Source organism: Homo sapiens, chromosome 17, assembly GCF_000001405.40.
Source record: "Homo sapiens chromosome 17, GRCh38.p14 Primary Assembly".
NCBI classification, from domain to species: domain Eukaryota; kingdom Metazoa; phylum Chordata; class Mammalia; order Primates; family Hominidae; genus Homo; species Homo sapiens.
In genome coordinates, this window is record NC_000017.11 from 51,615,729 (window position 1) to 51,634,544 (window position 18,816).

Consider the following 18,816-nt stretch of genomic DNA (forward strand, 5'->3'; position numbering starts at 1 on the left):
GAGTAACCCAGGTATGAGGAAGGATTCTGAAGTTTCAGGGACAGAGGAATAGTATAGTAAGGTGTAGTGTTGAACAATCTGAGACACAAGGGCTTGAATCCTGGTTCTGCCACTTTACTAAGATTAGGCTATTGAGCAAGTCCCTTCAACGCTCTGAACCTTTGTTAGGCTCACTGTGCTTAGGGACAACAAGTTTTTTTTTAAATTACAGAATACTATTAAAGGATCAGATAAAATAATGCTGGTAAAGTGCTTAGCATAATGTCTGGCACATGGAAGGTATTCAGTGACTAGCAGGCATTGCTCTTCGCTGTATTTTCCCACCAACCAAGTGATGCAACAAAGTTCAGTTTAAGCAAGGCTGTGTGGGGGGCATGGGCCAGAGGCTGTTTGCAGATTCTATGCCTCCCTGTAATTTCCTCCCCTGTCGAGCAGGTGCTTTCCTCCCTAGCATTGCCTATCCTGGGCTTTGGTTACTTATTATTTTTTAAAAAACTGAGGCAAGGCCAGGCATGGTGGCTCATGCCTGTAATCCCAGCGCTTTGGGAGGCTGAGGTGGGTGGATCACCTGAGGTCAGGAGTTTGAGACCAGCCTGGCCAATGTGGTAAAACCCTGACTCTACTAAAAATACAAAAATTAGCCAGGCATGGTGGCGCACACCTGTAGTCCCAGCTACTCAGGAGGCTGAGGTAGGAGACTCGCTTGAACCTGGGAGACAGAGGTTGCAGTGAGCCAAGATCGTGCCACTGTACTCTAGCCTGGGCAACAGAGCAAGATTCATCTAAAAAATAATAATAAAATTAAAATTGAGGTGACATTCACATAGCGTAAGGTTAACCATTTAGAAGTGAACAATTCAGTGGTATTTAGTACCTTAACAATGTTGTACTACTGCTATCTCTATCTACTTCCAAAACATTTTCATTACCCCAATAGAAAACCACATACCAATTGAGCAGTTGCTCCCTCTTCCCCTCTCTTTCCAACCCCCTGTGACCACCAATCTATCTCTACGGATCTACCTGTTATGGATATTTCACAGAAATGAAAGCATGCAGCATGTGGTCTTTCAGGTCTAGCTGCTTTCACGTAGCATAATGTGCTCAGGTTCATCCGTATTGTGGTGTGTATCAGTACTTCATTCTTTTTTATGGATGAATAATAGTCATTGTAGCATATTTTGCTTATTCATTCATCCATCCATGGGTGTTTGGGCTGTTTCCACCTCTTGGCTATTGTGAGTTGTGCTGCTGTAAACATGCTTGATGTGTACTTGTTTGCATACCTGTTTTCAGTTCCTTGGGGTGTATTCTGGCTACTTATTTTAATTAATCTCTGCTGTGTTTTTTGCCACCACATTTTCTGAGAGGCACCATGACAGCATGATGAGGCATGAGGACTCTGATACCTGGCTCTCTTCTTTGCTACTTACTGGTTGAACCATATTGGTCAAGGGGCTTGGCCTCTCCATACCTCTGTGTTCCCCTCTGTAAAATGGCGTTCATAATGACAGCCCCTATAGGAGGATTGTAATGATCAGATGAATTGATACCTGTAAAGCACATAGTCTGTGTGTAATGAACGTTAGCAATCACTGCTATCCTCTCTTTTCAGTACTTATTTTCTGCAGTCTCCTTTTGGACCCCCGTTTGTATTAGGATCTTTCATCTTTCAAATATCCAGAGCAGCTCTTTCATCAGCTGGTGACTGAAATTTCTTCCTGGGCAAGGCGGTTGAGCCACTGTGTTGTCCCTTTAACATGGGGAGTCCTGGGAACCTGGGGAGTCAGCTCCTCGGGAACAGAAAGAAGACACCCACCAAGTTTAGAGGAGTGGGACTTTGAGCTTATTCCAACCTGACCAGTAGGGATCTAAAGCTGCCTTCTTCCTCCCCTCCACAGGTTCTCTGGATCTATGTCTCAGATATTTTCCCAGATCCCATATGGCTATGCCATATTCTTTCTCATGGCTTGCAATGGCTTCCTATTGTTTGTTATATTAACAAAACCTCTCTGAAACCCCATGAAGTAGGTAGCTCTCTCCCCATTTCATTTTTGTGTATTTTCTTGCAAAGGGGGCAAGGGAGATTCTTCTACTTTCTATGGATGAGGAATATTCAACTGAGAGGTATAACATAATTGTCAAACTTCGTCAGTGTGTGAATTGCAGAGCCCGGACTAGAAGACACGGGCAGACCCAGGAGCACCTGCTACTTCTGGTTTGCACGCTGCCTTCCTTCTCTGACCCCCTGTATCAAGCCCAGCTGAGTTTTCCTTAGTCTACTTTCAACTGATCTGTACTAAGCCAGTGAATTCTCTTCATGCCCAGAACACCTGCCAGGCTCATTCTAGCTTCAGATCTTAGCCCCAGCTGTTCTGTTTGTCTGGATTACCATCCTGCCTCCCACCAATTCCAATCCTGCCACCTGGCAGGCATAATTCAAATCCCTCTTTCTTCACTAAAGCTTCCTACTGAGCTTTTCAATCAAGACCTTGTTCTTCATTTCTGAATTTCCTATCATTTTTCAAGTTGGTGCTCTTTGGCCTTCAGCTAGCACAAGCAGTGTCTTTGTGTGAATTAGAAGAAGGCATTCATTGACCCTAGGCTGATGAATTGTAAAAGGATGTCCTTAGTCGTCTTCTCAGCTGGGCACTTTTGGGCAGTGTGCTGACTGGACAACCATACTTAGCCAACTTGGCTATCTGACAGTTTCAAAATAATTGCTTTCTGAGTGTTAAATGTTACTAAGTCACATAGATTGCAAGAGTTCCACACTCATTTGTTGTGTCCTCCCAATTAGATTTTAAGCTTCTTGAGGGCAATGACCATTACTTGTCCTTCAGTTTTCCCCACTGTGCCTGGTCCAAAGCCAAGTGCTAAGTCTCTAGTGTCCAGCAAATGAAGTGACTTAGAGGAAGTGTGTCAGCCTTGGCTCTGAAGGGACTCAGCAAAACTCTTGCAGGAAAGAGCTGACTGACACCCACAGATGATCTTAGCCACACTGACTGCTTCACTATTTTGGGGGCACACCCACCAACGGCTGTTCCTTCATTTTGAGCTTTATCAGCTGAAATGGCATTCATTAGGGAAGGCTTCTTTCTCAGAAGCCTCTGTTAGAATCAATTTCTTCCTCCTATAATTTCCAAGGTGGCCTTTCTCTTCTAACCCACAATTCTCAGCTCCCAAAAGTATTTCTTAAGATGCAGCTCAAATTTTTACCTTTAAAATCTCTATCAGGGAGGTATATCCCAAAATCCACTGGGGCCACATCTCCCCTTCTACACTAAGTTCTTTTGTGGACAAGGCTTGTGCCTGGCACATAGTAGGCCTTCACTCAATGGCTGTTGAATCTCTGTCCACCAGGTTCCCTGGCTGTGTACATTTTCCAGCAATGCATCTTCATTCACTGCAGCAAAAGTATTTGCATCCCTTCTATTAGCACTATTTGACATTTGTTTAACACTTTCCCCAAGCTTTTTCTCATCTCTTTTCTGGTTTTGTTTTCACAACCTGTTAGGTTATGAGAAAAGAAATTATATCCATTTCTCTCATGAGGCACCTTAACTCCAGGAAGCAGAAGCATCTTATCTCATTGTCTGGTGACAGGGGTGAGGCTGCCACTCACTCAGGTGACCACTCCGGCACAGTGACAGTTTGGCTCTTGTTTCCTCCTCTTAACTCTTGTCTGAAGTTAACCATTCAATATCCTTAAAATTCCCAGAGTCTGACCCCGGAAGTAAAGAGGCCAACTTGGGTGGGAGGGGTGAGTATCCTCATCAACTCTAGAAATCCTACTACAGGTTGAGTATCCCAGATCCAAAAATCTGAAATCCAAGATGCTCTAAAATCCAAAACTTTTTTGAGTGTTGACATGGTGCTCAAAGGAAAGGCTCATTGGAGCATTTTGAATTTTGGATTTTCAGATTTGGGATGCTCAAAAGTAGTATTTATTCTGCAACTATTTCAAAACCTGAAAAAATCAGAAACACTTCGGCATTTCAGATAAGGGATAATCAACCTGTAGTACATCTCACTGAATTCATGTGTCAGAACCTAGCATCCTGGGCCCGTAAAGGAATTGTTCTTTTCTTTCATCCACTCTCCATCCTACCATTCTATCTGAGCATCTGTTCCAGGGCCAGGTAACCTATATGTATTTGGAACTGTTAGGCAAATATCTTTTTTTCCCTTGGAAACTATTTTCTAGAGGAAAGCAAATGTCTCGATATATTTGCAGATAGAAGAATAGAATCACCTGTGACTTAAAAAAAAAACATTAAAAAATCTATTGATGGCATGGACTCAAAAGTCAGAGACTGATTTAATTGGTCTGGGGTTGGGAGCCATTGGCAGAGTTCCTATGCCTTGGGTCCTGTCTTAGTCCATTTTGGCTGTTTAAACAAAATACGGTAAACTGGCTGCATTATAGAAACAGAAATTTATTTCTCACAGTTCTGAAGGCTGGGAAGTCCAAGATTAAGGCAGATTTAGTGTCTGGTGAGGGCCCACTTTCTGTCTTATAGATGGTGCCTTCCTGCTGTGTCCTCACATGGTAAAAGGGGTGAGGCATCTCTCTCAAGCCTCTTTTATAAAGACACTAATCCCGTTCATGAGAGCTCCACCCTTATGACCTAATCACCTCCCAAAAGTCCTACCTCCTAATACATTTGCCTTGGGGGTTAAAATTTCAACATACGAATTTTAGGGAGACAGACATTCAGATTAGGCCAGGCATGGTGGCTCACACCTGTAATTTCAGCACTTTGGGATGCTGAGGCAGGAGGATCACTTGAGCCCAGGAGTTCAAGACCAGCCTGTGCAATATAATGAGACCTTGTTTCTACTAAAAATAATAAAAATTAGCCAGGTGTGGTGACGAACACCTGCAGTCCAGCTACTTGGGAGGGTGGGGTGGGAGGATGGCTTGAGCCCAGGAGATAGAGGCTGCAGTGAGCTATGATTTTGCTACTATACTCCAGCCTGGGAGACAGAGTGAGAACCTGTCTCAGAAACAAAAGCAAAAAAAATTCAGACCGTAACAGATCCAGTATAAAGAATAAGACTAGATGACTGCAGTCCCAAAGAGAAGCACTGTTCCATTCCGGCATCAGCTAAGACATGTTCACCCAAGGCTTCTCTAGCATCAGCTTTTGCTGTAACTTTCTGTTTCCAGTACACACCAGCTATATGATCCTGAGTGTGTATGGATGTCTTTGATAACTTCCTTATCTATAAAATAAGGTCAAGAACTACTTGGCAGAACTGCTAGGAGCACCAAATAAAATAAAGAATGTATGTAAAATAATATGTAAAATAAGCCAGCACTCTGCCTGATACATATTTGATACATAGGTCAACAACTCTGAATTGAAAAGAATCAAATACTATCCTCCATCCCATAGGAAAATTCTATGTAGCAATTTTTTTTTGAATATCTCCTATTCTGCAAAGTATTATATGATTTCTTTCTATTCCTCTTTCTGTGCATAGAAGGGAGAGATACAAAGATGAAAGAAGAGATCATCTCTGTCTTCAGGGAACTTCTAATTGGCATGTGCAGACAGGAAAATATAGAACCACATGAAGTTCTTTGTATATTACATACACATATTTCAAACATAGAACCGAGTGAAGTAAATGTTAATTAGAGATATAATCAATATGCTGTGTGAGCTCAGAGGATGGAAGAAATCATTTCCCCTGAGGAGATGAAAACAGCATTTTAAGCTGAGTGATGACATGGACTATGGTTAGGAGGCTGGAAAGTGTGAGCGGGTGTCTGAATGTCAGCAAAGGGTCTAGGGTAGCTGGCCCCCCAACGTTCATCAGGAGGGCTGAGACATGAATTTTTGGACCTCTGCTGAGAATCCATTAAGAAAGGCTTTGCAAAAGAATTTGATCCTTTAACCTTGAAACAACTGGGAACCATTGAAAGCTTGAGTGTTGGGAGATATGCTCTGGTTGGAAGTTTTCGTTCATTCATCCTAGTGATGAGATGGGAGTGGGCTGGCAAAGTCCAGGTCAGAATATGACTCTCTAACCCTTCCTCCCTACCTGGGCCATGGCTAAGACCTCAGATACCCTGTGAAGAGCAGCTCAGGCAATTCTCCTGAGTCCTGATTCCTATGTCCATTCCAGGTCTGGCATCCAGGTGCTGCCCTCTTGTATTGTGCCTGAAATCTGTTTCTCTACCAAATCAATTTGGAATGCTGCCCTGCTGGATTTTCTGTGTAGCTTTTGGTCTCCTCTCTGGAAAGTGTCTCAGATTGTTTTCTACCTACTCCTCAGCCCAGCCTAAATTTCCTTCAACATTTATTCAGGATGAACTCAGCTTCCCTTTATATGAGAACAGTGTTTGGGTATTTTTACACTCTTGACCCACGGTCTCTCACTTTTCTGGAGACTGGAGGCAGAAGGACCTTCTGGGTAGATATTGTTGTAGTCCAGGCCAAAGAGGATGACGGCTGGGACTAGGCCTTGTCACAGGGCTGAAGGGTTGGGGGAGGGAATGTGGCATGGAAGAGACACTTTGGAGTTAGAACTGTTGGGGCCACAGCTGGCTTATAACTTTTCGTGATGGACCCAGCTTGTTTCTGAACTTCTGGTATCCTGACTCACAGTTTGTTTTCATTGTTTGTAATAGTTTGAGGTCTTGGAAACTTTGCAATCTGAGTTATTAGAAGTGATGACTTGGAGTGGATTTTAGAAGGCTGGTGCCGAGCCAGTATTTCAAATAGCAATGTTTTGAGAGAGAGATTTGTTATTCAAACTCTGGACCTGTTAATTGAAGGAGAAAATTGGGATGGGAAACATTCTGAGACCATCGAAAGTAGTTAACATGCATAGGAATCTGGACCTGATTCTGAAAAGGGAATGGCCATTAGATAACTCTGGTCTCTGGGCTCCGATGGATGCCCGTCAGAGGCGAACCCTCCACTGAGAAGGTCCTTTAGGTAGAGGTGTGATCCCCAAAGTTTGCTGCATGTTGGAATCATCTGCAGATCTTTATAATACACTGAAGCCTGGCTGCTGCTCCCAGACATCCTGATTTAAGTGATATGCAGTACAACTTGGGCACTGGGATTTTTCAAACTTTCTAGGAAATTCTTTTTTAAATTATTACTATATTTTTTATTGAGTTATATTTTTATGATTGACATACAAAATGAATGAATGACATCTATATAATTATGTTTTTATGATTGACATATAAAACTGTTGTATATATTTAATGTATATACATCTTGATGAGTTTGAAGATAAGTATACACCCTTGAAGCCATCACCATAAACAATGCATAAATGTAACCATTATCCTTAAAAGTTTCCTCGTCTTTTGTCATAAGAACACTTAGCATAAGATCTACCCTATTATTTTTATATATACATTTTTAAAATATAAAAGATAGCATTGTTAACTACAGGTATTATGCTCTACAGTAGATCTTTAGGACTTACTCATCCTGAATAACTAAAACGATTTGACTTTTTACCAACACCTCCCTGATTTCTCCTCCCCCAACCTCCTGATAACCACCACCGTACTCTCTGCTTCTATGAGTTTGACTATTTCAGATTCCTAATATAAATGGGGTCATGTAGTATTTGTTCCTCTGAGTCTGGCTTATTTCATTTAGTACTGCCACAACTCAATAGAAAAAAACCCAAATAATCTGATTAAAAAATGGGTAAAAGACCTGAATAGTCATTTCTCCAAAGAAGGACATACAAGTGGCCAATAGGTATATGAAAAGGTGTTCAACATCACTAATCATCAGGGAAATGCAAATCAAAATTACAATGAGATACCACCTCACACCTGTTATGGCTATTATCAAGCAAACCAAAGATAACAATTGTTGGCAAAGATGTGGGGAAAAGGGAACCTTTGTACACTGTTGATGGGAATGTCAATTGGTACAGACTATGGAAAACAGTATGGAGATTCCACAAAAAATTAAATAGACCTACTGTATGATCCGACAATCCCACTTCTGCGTATACACCCAAAAGAATTGAAACCAGGATTGCAAAGAGATATCTGTACTCCCAAGTTCATTGCAACATTACTTACAATAACAAAGACATGGAAGATGTTCTTTGAAACCAACGAGAACAAAGACACAACATACCAGAATGTCTGGGACACATTCAAAGCAGTGTGTAGAGGGAAATTTATAGCACTAAATGACCACAAGAGAAAGCAGGAAAGATCCAAATCTGACACCCTAACATCACAATTAAAAGGACTATAAAAGCAAGAGCAAACACATTCAAAAGCTAGCAGAAGGCAAGAAATAACTAAAATCAGAGCAGAACTGAAGGAAATAGAGACACAAAAAACCCTTCAAAAAATTAATGAATCCAGGAGCTGGTTTTTTGAAAGGATCAACAAAATTGATAGACCACTAGCAAGACTAATAAAGAAGAAAAGAGAGAAGAATCAAATAGATGCAATAAAAAATGATAAAGGGGATATCACCACCGATCCTACAGAAATGCAAACTACCATCAGAGAATACTACGAACACCTCTATGCAAATAAACTAGAAAATCTAGAAGAAATGGATAACTTCCTTGACACATACACCCTCCCAAGACTAAACAAGGAAGAAGTTGAATCTCTGAATAGACCAATAACAGGAGCTGAAATTGTGGCAATAATCAATAGCTTACCAACCAAAAAGAGTCCAGGACCAGATGGATTCACAGCCGAATTCTACCAGAGGTACAAGGAGGAACTGATACCATTCCTTCTGAAACTATTCCAATCAATAGAAAAAGAGGGAATCCTCCCTAACTCATGAGGCCAGCATCATCCTGATACCAAAGCCGGGCAGAGACACAACCAAAAAAGAGAATTTTAGACCAATATCCTTGATGAACATTGATGCAAAAATCCTCAATAAAATACTGGCAAACTGAATCCAGCAGCACATCAAAAAGCTTATCCACCATGATCAAGTGGGCTTCATCCCTGGGATGCAAGGCTGGTTCAATATATGCAAATCAATAAATGTAATCCAGCATATAAACAGAACCAAAGACAAAAACCACATGATTATCTCAATAGATACAGAAAAGGCCTTTGACAAAATTCAACAACCCTTCATGCTAAAAACTCTCAATAAATTAGGTATTGATGGGACGTATCTCAAAATAATAAGAGCTATCTATGACAAACCCACAGCCAATATCATACTGAATGGGCAAAAACTGGAGGCATTCCCTTTGAAAACTGGCACAAGACAGGGATGCCCTCTCTCACCACTCCTATTCAACATAGTGTTGGAAGTTCTGGCCAGGGCAATTAGGCAGGAGAAGGAAATAAAGGGTATTCAATTAGGAAAAGAGGAAGTCAAATTGTCCCTGTTTGCAGATGACATGATTGTATATCTAGAAAACCCCATTGTCTCAGCCCAAAATCTCCTTAAGCTGATAAGCAACTTCAGCAAAGTCTCAGGATACAAAATCAATGTACAAACATCACAAGCATTCTTATACACCAACAACAGACAAACAGAGAGCCAAATCATGAGTGAACTCCCATTCACAATTGCTTCAAAGAGAATAAAATACCTAGGAATCCAACTTACAAGGGATGTGAAGGACCTCTTCAAGGAGAACTATAAACCACTGCTCAATGAAATAAAAGAGGATACAAAGAAATTGAAGAACATTCCATGCTCATGGGTAGGAAGAATCAATATCGTGAAAATGGCCATACTGCCCAAGGTAATTTATAGATTCAATGTCATCCCCATCAAGCTACCAATGACTTTCTTCACAGAATTGGAAAAAACTACTTTAAAGTTCATATGGCACCAAAAAAGAGCCCACATCGCCAAGTCAATCCTAAGCCAAAAGAACAAAGCTGGAAGCATCATGCTACCTGACTTCAAACTATGCTACAAGGCTACAGTAACCAAAACAGCATGGTACTGGTATCAAAACAGTAGATCAATGGAACAGAACAGAGCCCTCAGAAATAATGCCGCATATCTACAACTATCTGATCTTTGACAAACCTGAGAAAAACAAGCAATGGGGAAAGGATTCCCTGTTTAATAAATGGTGCTGGGAAAACTGGCTAGCCATATGGAGAAAGCTGAAACTGGATCCCTTCCTTACACCTTATACAAAAATTAATTCAAGATGGATTAAAGACTTAAACGTTAGACCTAAAACCATAAAAACCCTAGAAGAAAACCTAGGCATTACCATTCAGGACATAGGCATGGACAAGGACTTCATGTCTAAAACACCAAAAGCAATGGCAACAAAAGCCAAAATTGACAAATGGGATCTAATGAAACTAAAGAGCTTCTGCACAGCAAAAGAAACTACCATCGGAGTGAACAGGCAACCCACAAAATGGGAGAAAATTTTCGCAACCTACTCATCTGACAAAGGGCTAATATCCAGAATCTACAATGAACTCAAACAAATTTACAAGAAAACAAACAACCCTATGAAAAAGTGGGCGAAGGACATGAACACACACCTCTCAAAAGAAGACATTTATGCAGCCAGAAAACACATGAAAAAATGCTCACCATCACTGGCCATCAGAGAAATGCAAATCAAAACCACAATGAGATACCATCTCACACCAGTTAGAATGGCAATCATCAAAAAGACAGGAAACAACAGGTGCTGGAGAGGATGTGGAGAAATAGGAACACTTTTACACTGTTGGTGGGACTGTAAACTAGTTCAAGCATTGTGGAAGTCAGTGTGGCGATTCCTCAGGGATCTAGAACTAGAAATACCATTTGACCCAGCCATCCCATTACTGGGTATATACCCAAAGGACTATAAATCATGCTGCTATAAAGACACATGCACACGTATGTTTATTGCAGCGCTATTCACAATAGCAAAGACTTGGAACCAACCCAAATGTCCAACAATGATAGACTGGATTAAGAAAATGTGGCACATATACACCATGGAATAATATGCAGCCATAAAAAATGATGAGTTCATGTCCTTTGTAGGGACATGGATGAAATTGGAAATCATCATTCTCAGTAAACTATCGCAAGAACAAAAAACCAAACACCTCATGTTCTCACTCATAGGTGGGAATTGAACAATGAGAACACATGGACACAGGAAGGGGAGCATCACACTCTGGGGACTGTTGTGGGGTGGGGGGAGGTGGGAGGGATAGCATTAGGAGATATACCTAATGCTAAATGACGAGTTAATGGGTGCAGCACACCAGCATGGCACATGTATACATATGTAACTAACTTGTACATTGTGCACATGTACCCTAAAACTTAAAGTATAATAATAATAATAAAAAGACATGGATAAAAGCTAAATTGTTCACTGACAGATGAACAGGTAAAGAAAATGTGGCATAGACGTACAATGGAATATTAGCCTTAAAAAGAAGGAAATCTTGACATTTGCCACAACGTGGGTGAACTTGGAGGACATTATGCTAAAGAGGTTCTAATATGTAGTAAAGTTTGGGAACCTCTAGAGTAGGAAGTAGTAGGGATGAATATTTGATTTACGGTGATTCTCACGTTGAGTGTGCATCAGAATCATCTAGGGGGCTTGTTAAAACAGATGGCTGGGGCTCACCCTCTGAGTGTCAATCGGTCTGCAGTGGGATCTAAAAATGTGCATATCTAACCAGCTCCTAAGTGATGCTGTTGGCTGGGGCCATGCTTTGAGAACCACTGGCTTAGAAGAGTTGAGTCTGGCATTTCCACCTATGAGCTATGTGATCCTGAGGCTATCACCTGGTCTATAAGAAGTCAATTTCTGCATTTACAACCCAGGGACAGCAGTGGTGATTACTTTGTGGGTCACTGTGTGGGTAAAATGAGATGATATTTGTAAACTGCTTGGCACAGCGCCTGGACCACAGAAAATATGCAACCTATGGCAGACCTTATCAATAATAGTATGTTTTTTTCATCTGGAGTCTTGGCAGATCTTTCCTTATGTTCAGTTGTGCCAGTTGGTGAATAATATTACAGTAAGTTTCTGCTCCTAGGGGTCCTACTTTTAGGATTTCTGGAACAGGAAAATTGAGATACTCTTATGAACTGCAGGTGTTCTGGATTCCAGCAGGACGGGTCCACCCTGGGGGTATGGGCATATGCTAATTGACCCTTGTCAATCATCTTCTTTGGCCTGATGTGTGTGTTATGGGCTGTGGTCAAGGACTGCTTTCCTGTCCAGATTCCATGTGATTCTCTCACTGTCTTGTACCACATTCCAGACACATTTAGTGCAGTGAGTTGTGGTTGTCCTGATGTCACCATGGAAACTTAACTGCTACAGAGGGAGATTGGAACAAGGCTCTAAATGGTCTGGGAAACCATAAAATGTGTCCCCAAGAAGGGGCTAGGGCTGTGGATTTCCACATGATTTTTTTTTTTTTGAGACAGAGTCTTAGTCTGTCACTCAGGCTGGAGTGCAGTGGAGTGATGGATCTTGGCTCACGGCAACCTCCACCTTCTGGGTTCAAGTGATTCTCCTGCCACAGCCTCCCGAGTAATTGGGATTACAGGCATGTGCCACCATGCCCGGCTAATTTTTGTATTTTTAGTGGAGACACGGTTTCACCATACTGACCAGGCTGTTCTCAAACTTCTGACCTCAGGTGATCCACTCACCTCAATGTGTTCTTTTTTTCATTCAATTTGTCCAGATCTCTCTTGGGTGTATATTTACCTCCCTCCCCCATTTCGCAGAGGAGGGAACTGAGGCTTAGCATGTGTTTCCTTGCAGGTTGTAGACTACTTCTCCAAAAGGGAAGGGGTGCCCCTGTCAGCCTGGGCTCCAACAGGCAAAGCTGGCCGATCGGCACACACTGTGGAGCACAGAGACACCACTCCCCTGGAACTTCCTGAGCACCCATGGACTGCAAAATTGATTAATGTATTTTTGTTCCTTGATGTCTTCAACAGGTATGAGGTGGTATCTCATTGTAGTTTTGATTTGCATTTCCCTGATGATTAGTGATGTTGAAGAGATCAAGACCCAGATGAGACCAAAGTCCTAGATGAAGACACCAAAGAACAAGAATACATCAATAGATTTTACAGCCCATGGGTGCTCAGGAAGTCCAGGGGCTCTTTGGTACTTTAAAAACTACCACCTTTTTTTTTTTTTTGAGAGGTACTAATCTAGCTAGTCTTTTTATTACTCCTACATATTGTGAGGGCAAAGTGACTATGTTTTCTTTTTCTAGTTTGGGAAACCTAGTGAGTATGGAGAAAGGGGCATTTAGGACTGGCCCAGAAAGTCAGAGACAGGAGCCAGTTTGCCCCATTTTGAGTCCTGTTTGGTCAAGGTGAAAGTCTGCCTATGCCTAGGGGCCCTAGGGGTGAGAGACTGGGTTTTTCTTTGTTCTCACTGGACTAAAGAACTGAATGAGAGGCACAGTTGGGGAATTAAGAGTGGAAAGGCCAGGGGAGGTCATCTTGTCCAAATCATTTGTCGATAAGGACTCAGCCCCAGGGAGGGGAGTTGACTTGCCCAGTGTCAGAGAGGATGCTGTGATGGGGTGGGGCCTAGAAACCCAGTTGCCTGCCTGCCTTCCTTGCTCATGCTTCTCCTTCTCTTCCTCAACACATCGTAGGCATTTATCTATGTGCAGTCTGCTGGGTATCTATTGCTTTCGTTTGCTGTCACTCTGGTGTCCTTGTTGTGATTGATGCTACCACCACCCTGTAAAGGAAGGCATGGTATGACTCAGATAAACTTTTAATAGGCAGGTCGTACAAATGCTCTACTATTGGTACCATTTATAGAAAGGTCATTGCAGGTATTGTGCAGGCTGCTTTAAGTAACTACATAGTGTTTAAGCCTCATAACTCATGGAGGCAATTATTAACCTCCCCAATGTACAGATAGAGAAGTAAAGCAACTTGCCTAGGGTCACGCAGCAGGCAAGAGGCAGAGTAAAGTTGATTTACCATCCATATTCTTCAGCTGTTATACTATATCGCTGCCTGCCATTGCAGGTTAAGGAAGATTCTACCTCAGAAGCAGCAGCAAGCCATGTAAAGATTGCCACCTGCTTACCCTAAACCTTTGTGAATATTTGGTTCTCTGGAAAAATAAGGTTGCTCAGAAATAGGTCTAGATGCCATCATAGCTAAGGCTGCCGTGTGTCTGACATTGATGCAAAAAGTAAAGTAAAAGATAAAATCCAGTTAAGTATATTATTTTGAATATGAAATAACTGGGTGTTTTGAATTTTTCATTGTCAATCCATCTAGTCACTAGGCTGAAGTTTTTCATATGCTTGGGAATGTTCTCATTTGCACAGACTCTCCTTGCCTGTGCTCTCCCCCTTCCAGGAGAGTGTGACAGAAAGGAGAGATGAAAGTTATTTTTAATTTGGCCACTGAACAAACATCCAAGTGTTCTCTTCCAGGAGCTAAGCCTATATGTTTTCTCAACAGGGTATTAATTACCTGGCTCTGGGAATGGCTAGACAGGCTGTTCTGGATGCCCTGCCAGCCCCGTATGCAATTGCTCCTGCACCCAGCAGGACTCAGAGACTTCAGCAGGGAGCATCCTCTTTCTCAATAAAGTCAGACATGGGTACTGGGTAACTTGTTAAACACATTTATTGATTTCTTGACAGTAACCAAACACAGTGAGTGACCATTATAAACAAGAAAAGAAAGGCATTCGTTTTGTACTTTGTGAGATCTGGCTGCACCTGGAGAGAAAACATACCCCTTTCCCAGGAACTTACAAGGCAAAGTGCATTCCTTCACGGGAGCATCACAGGGGGGCATGGCAGTTTTGAAACGCAAGAAGTCTGTCGCCTGCTATCTCAGGCTGAAGCTCACCTCATGTGAATGATTGAGCCATGGAGTGGAATTAAAGTCATACTTGCTTAGCAAATGCATTCCTGATTGCCACAAACTCAGTAAAAACTGGCTGCAAATGAACAAAACATGTAGATGAAGGAACAAGTGAAATCAAAGAATGCAGTTGCATGGAGCCAGGGCTTAGCCTGTAAGGAAGGAGAACAGACCAAAGCCAGAAAAATGAAATTAACTCGTTAAACACATTTATTGAGCTGGTAACAATAACCAAACACAATGTATGACCTTTGGAAAACAAGAAACAGCAAATGGATCATTTCTGATCTTGGCAAATCCTACTACAGATATGTGACAAAGAGGGAAATAATTCCATTTCCTTATAGTCTGTGGTGATATATATACAATGTGTAGCTCTTCAATGTCTGTCCTTTTTTTCTTTGTAAATTGTTGAGTAAACAGAAGAATCATAATCTAGAAATAAGTGTCCTTGGTCAACTTTGTCCTGCTCACCTGCTACCAGCACCCTCAAAGGATCCTAGGACACTATCTGAAATTACTTGATGCAAAGTCCGTTTGATGCCATCAGAGCTGTATTTTCTCCTCTCTCTTTTGGAAGAATTTTGTATGTACAAAGGCTGAAAAGTCTCATTGGGTAGATTTATTAGTTCAGGAAAACGGTATCAAAATTGAAATCAGGTTAACTGGTTATTTTCTTCTAAGACCTCTTATGAATGAGACTTTTGTTTCTGAAACTTGACTTCCCATGATGGAGGTTGTAAGAGTGTGTGTGTGTGTAGGTATGTTTGCATGTGTTTGTATGTATGTGCAAGTGCTTGTGTGTGTGTTTGTGAGTATGTGTGAGAGATGTATTCCTCTGCCATGGTTTTGCAGACACTTTTCATGAAGAAAGGGCCAATCCCAAGAATGAATGAGGCTTGGGGGAAAGAAGGAGAGAGAAGCAAGAAGGGGGACATTCTAGGTTACGTCAATTCACAGTTGTAGCATTTCACTGAGGTGGGATTCTTCTTGGCTTTGTTCCCTACTTGAGGAGCCATTCATTTACTGCAAAGAGAGAGAAAGAAAAAAAAAATCACACATACAACATAAAACGAGGCATACTCAATTAATTTGCACACAGTTTTAGAGAATTCCTCCAGAGGGGAAGGGACTGTTTTGTAAATGCCTGCTTACTTATATGCATTCCAACTACTCCCTTCCAATTCTCCATGACCTTCTAGGCCTATACTGACCAATATGGTGGCCACTAGCTGCCATATGTGGCTACTATGAATTTAAATTAATTAAAATAAAAAATTAGTTGCATCATTGTACTAGTCACCCATCCAATGTTCAATAGCCACATATGGCTAGTAGCTGCTGTATTGGGCAGTGCAGGATAGTCATCAACCTATCATGAAAACATTCCCATTACCACAGAAAGTTCTAGTGGATGACACTGCTCTAGGCTAGGGATGGAAAAACAACAGTCCACAGATCTAATCCAGCACAATACCTGTTTTTATAAATAAAGTTTTATTGGAACACAGCCATACCCATTCATTTAGATATTATCAATGGCTGATTTCATACTACAATGTCAGAGTGCCATAGAGATTTTATGGCTTCAAAACTTAACATATTTACTCTCTGTCCTTTATAGAAAAAGTGTGTAGACTCCTGTTGTAGACCATATGCTCTGTTTGGATAGGTGTCTTATCTGTCACCCATCACCCAGCTAACTGACACATGGTAGGAACACAATACAGGGGTTTTGACTAAAGAGAAGAAGCAATGAATGAGTTAGGTATTTACTTTTCTGGTAGTTCCGGCTGGAAGGGTGTGGAAAATATGTAGTTTGGGCATGCAAGTGTATCTGAGAGAGAAAAAAGAAGGGAACAAGGGGGAAGTAGGAGGAATGAAGTGGAGGATCAAGGAGTAGTGGTGGAGGCTGCTTCTAAAAGCTGTCTGGTAATAACCACAGCCCTCCTATTTGGGGAGCATGTTATTGCTACAAAGGGCTTCCCTATCCAGGCTCTTGTTTGCTTCCTTTAACAAACTGTGAAGTAGATGGCATAGGAACTGTCACGAAGAAGCCAGGTCTAGGGGGTAAACAATGTGGCTGGGTTTGCACAGCTTGTTAGAACTAGGCCCAGAACTTGGGTGTCCTGATTTCCAGTCCAGGGCTCTCCAAGACCCCATCCTTCCTCCATCTTTCTTTCCACACTGAGTGTTTACCACAATGATTAACAGATGTTTAGTAGTAAGCAGAAGGGAAGAGAGAGAGGGCTGGGTGTGCACCACAGAGTTACAGGAGGCAGATGTCAACTTAAATGTCCCCTTTAGTGGGAATAATAACCATTTCTAGGGACATAGCACTGGGCAAAGATACACTCACAAATTACCCCATTGGATTCTAATGGCCTGCCCTTTAGAGTATTTGTTCATCTTCTAGGGGAAAGCAGGTCTTTCTTCCATATACTTAAAAGCTCTAATGCTTTTCACTGTCCTGTTCTAACAGATAACCTTGGGAACATCAGCCTTTCTGGGCTCTTTTGAAAAATGGCAATAAAAAGCTGTCTTGCCTGATCTACAGGGGTTTTAAAGGTTTGATATATGTGTTTAAAGGTTACATATATATATATCTCACATATATCAAACCTCTACACCTTGCCATCTACCTACCGTCCATCCATCCATCCATCCACTTACTTACCTACCTACCAACCTACCTAGATGCATTCATACAGGTATCTGTATCACATATATCAAAACTTTAGACCTTCATCACCATGCAAATGGAGTGTGATGGCTATTGTCATTTACAGTCATCATTCCTATAATGGAAGATAATGCCAGGCCTTTAAGAACAGGTCTAAGCAGAAAGACTGAGCTCTAGCCTAGATCCTCCACTCTCTGAGCCACCAAACCCACCTCTATACTGAAGCTTCTGGGCTCGGTTGTTTGGACAGTCCTTCCCCTGTAAACTGAAGTTGATATTGGTGCGGATGCAGCGGTTGTTGAGTGGCTGGACAGGCCTGAAGTTGTCACTCATGCTCAGAAAGATCTGAGATGGCTGGTTCTGGCTGAGCAGGCGCAAGGAATGCATCTGAGGAGAGAGAAGTGGCCGTGAGATCCAACCATCCTCTTAAATGCACTAGGGAAGAAATAAGACCACAGAGACTCTGGCCAAGCTAGGTGGTATTGGCTGTATGAGGAAAGGGCTGTATAAGCCCCACAGAGTCCCTTTTTTCCATGGGTTCAGTTGAGCTGAAGGCCCATTATACCTCCACACATGAAGCCAGCCTTTCTTCTAGCTTACTAGCTTGTGTATGCCTCTGAACAAGTCACTTGCGCTCTCTCACCCTCAAATGCAGCATCCAAAAAAGGAGCAAATCTGGTTAGGTTTCTCTAAGGTTCTTTCTTTCTTTGATACTCTTTGGTTCAATAATTCCATGACTCCCACATGGTATTACGTGGATCATAGTGATTGGTCCATGGGTCAGAGCTAAACTAAGCTGGACCAGTTTGGTTTCTTTTCTGTGAGACTATGAGGGCCAGGTGGCTGGACTGTTTGCAGCCATGTTCTGCCACAGGACTGTGAGGCAAAAGAAGACGGTCTCTAGCAGGAGAGAAGAATGAAGTGAATGTGTGGTGAGAAGAGGACAACAGAGAGAAAGCACTTCTGGGGTTCCCATTTCAGTGAATTTCTGATGTCAATTTCTGATTTTAAATTCTCTAAGATGCCCTCGTAGCTCTCAAATAAATGCTTTTTCTAAGCTTAAGTGGGGAGTTACTGTTGCCTGTCACCCAGTGGGTCCCATTCAATACAGATAGGTTAAGGAACTTCAAATTGTTCAAATGGTGGTCAGGTGGGAACACATATCCCGTCAAGGATATTGGCTTCTGCTTCCTTTGCTCATCTCTCCTTTAATTTGTTATAGACTCCCACAGTCGTAGAATGTCAGAGCTGGAGCAAACTCATGTAATTTATCCCCCTCTC

At 41.9% G+C, this 18,816-nt stretch overlaps 1 protein-coding gene across 3 annotated transcripts in view; it reads right to left on the reverse strand.

The window, feature by feature from the left end:
* Nucleotides 1–14,584: 14,584 nt before the first annotated feature.
* Nucleotides 14,585–18,816, reverse strand: part of CA10 (carbonic anhydrase 10) — a 529,711-nt gene continuing 525,479 nt past the window's right edge. For 2 of the 3 annotated variants that reach the window (NM_001082534.2, NM_020178.5), the window contains 2 exons: nucleotides 17,748–17,922; nucleotides 14,592–15,878 (listed from right to left, as the gene is read on the reverse strand). In NM_001082534.2, coding sequence (NP_001076003.1) covers nucleotides 15,856–15,878; nucleotides 17,748–17,922 — 198 coding nt within the window. In that variant the 3' untranslated portion in view covers nucleotides 14,592–15,855. Of the gene's footprint in view, nucleotides 15,879–17,747; nucleotides 17,923–18,816 lie in introns of all 3 variants that reach the window. The other variant, NM_001082533.1, reaches the window with a different exon arrangement.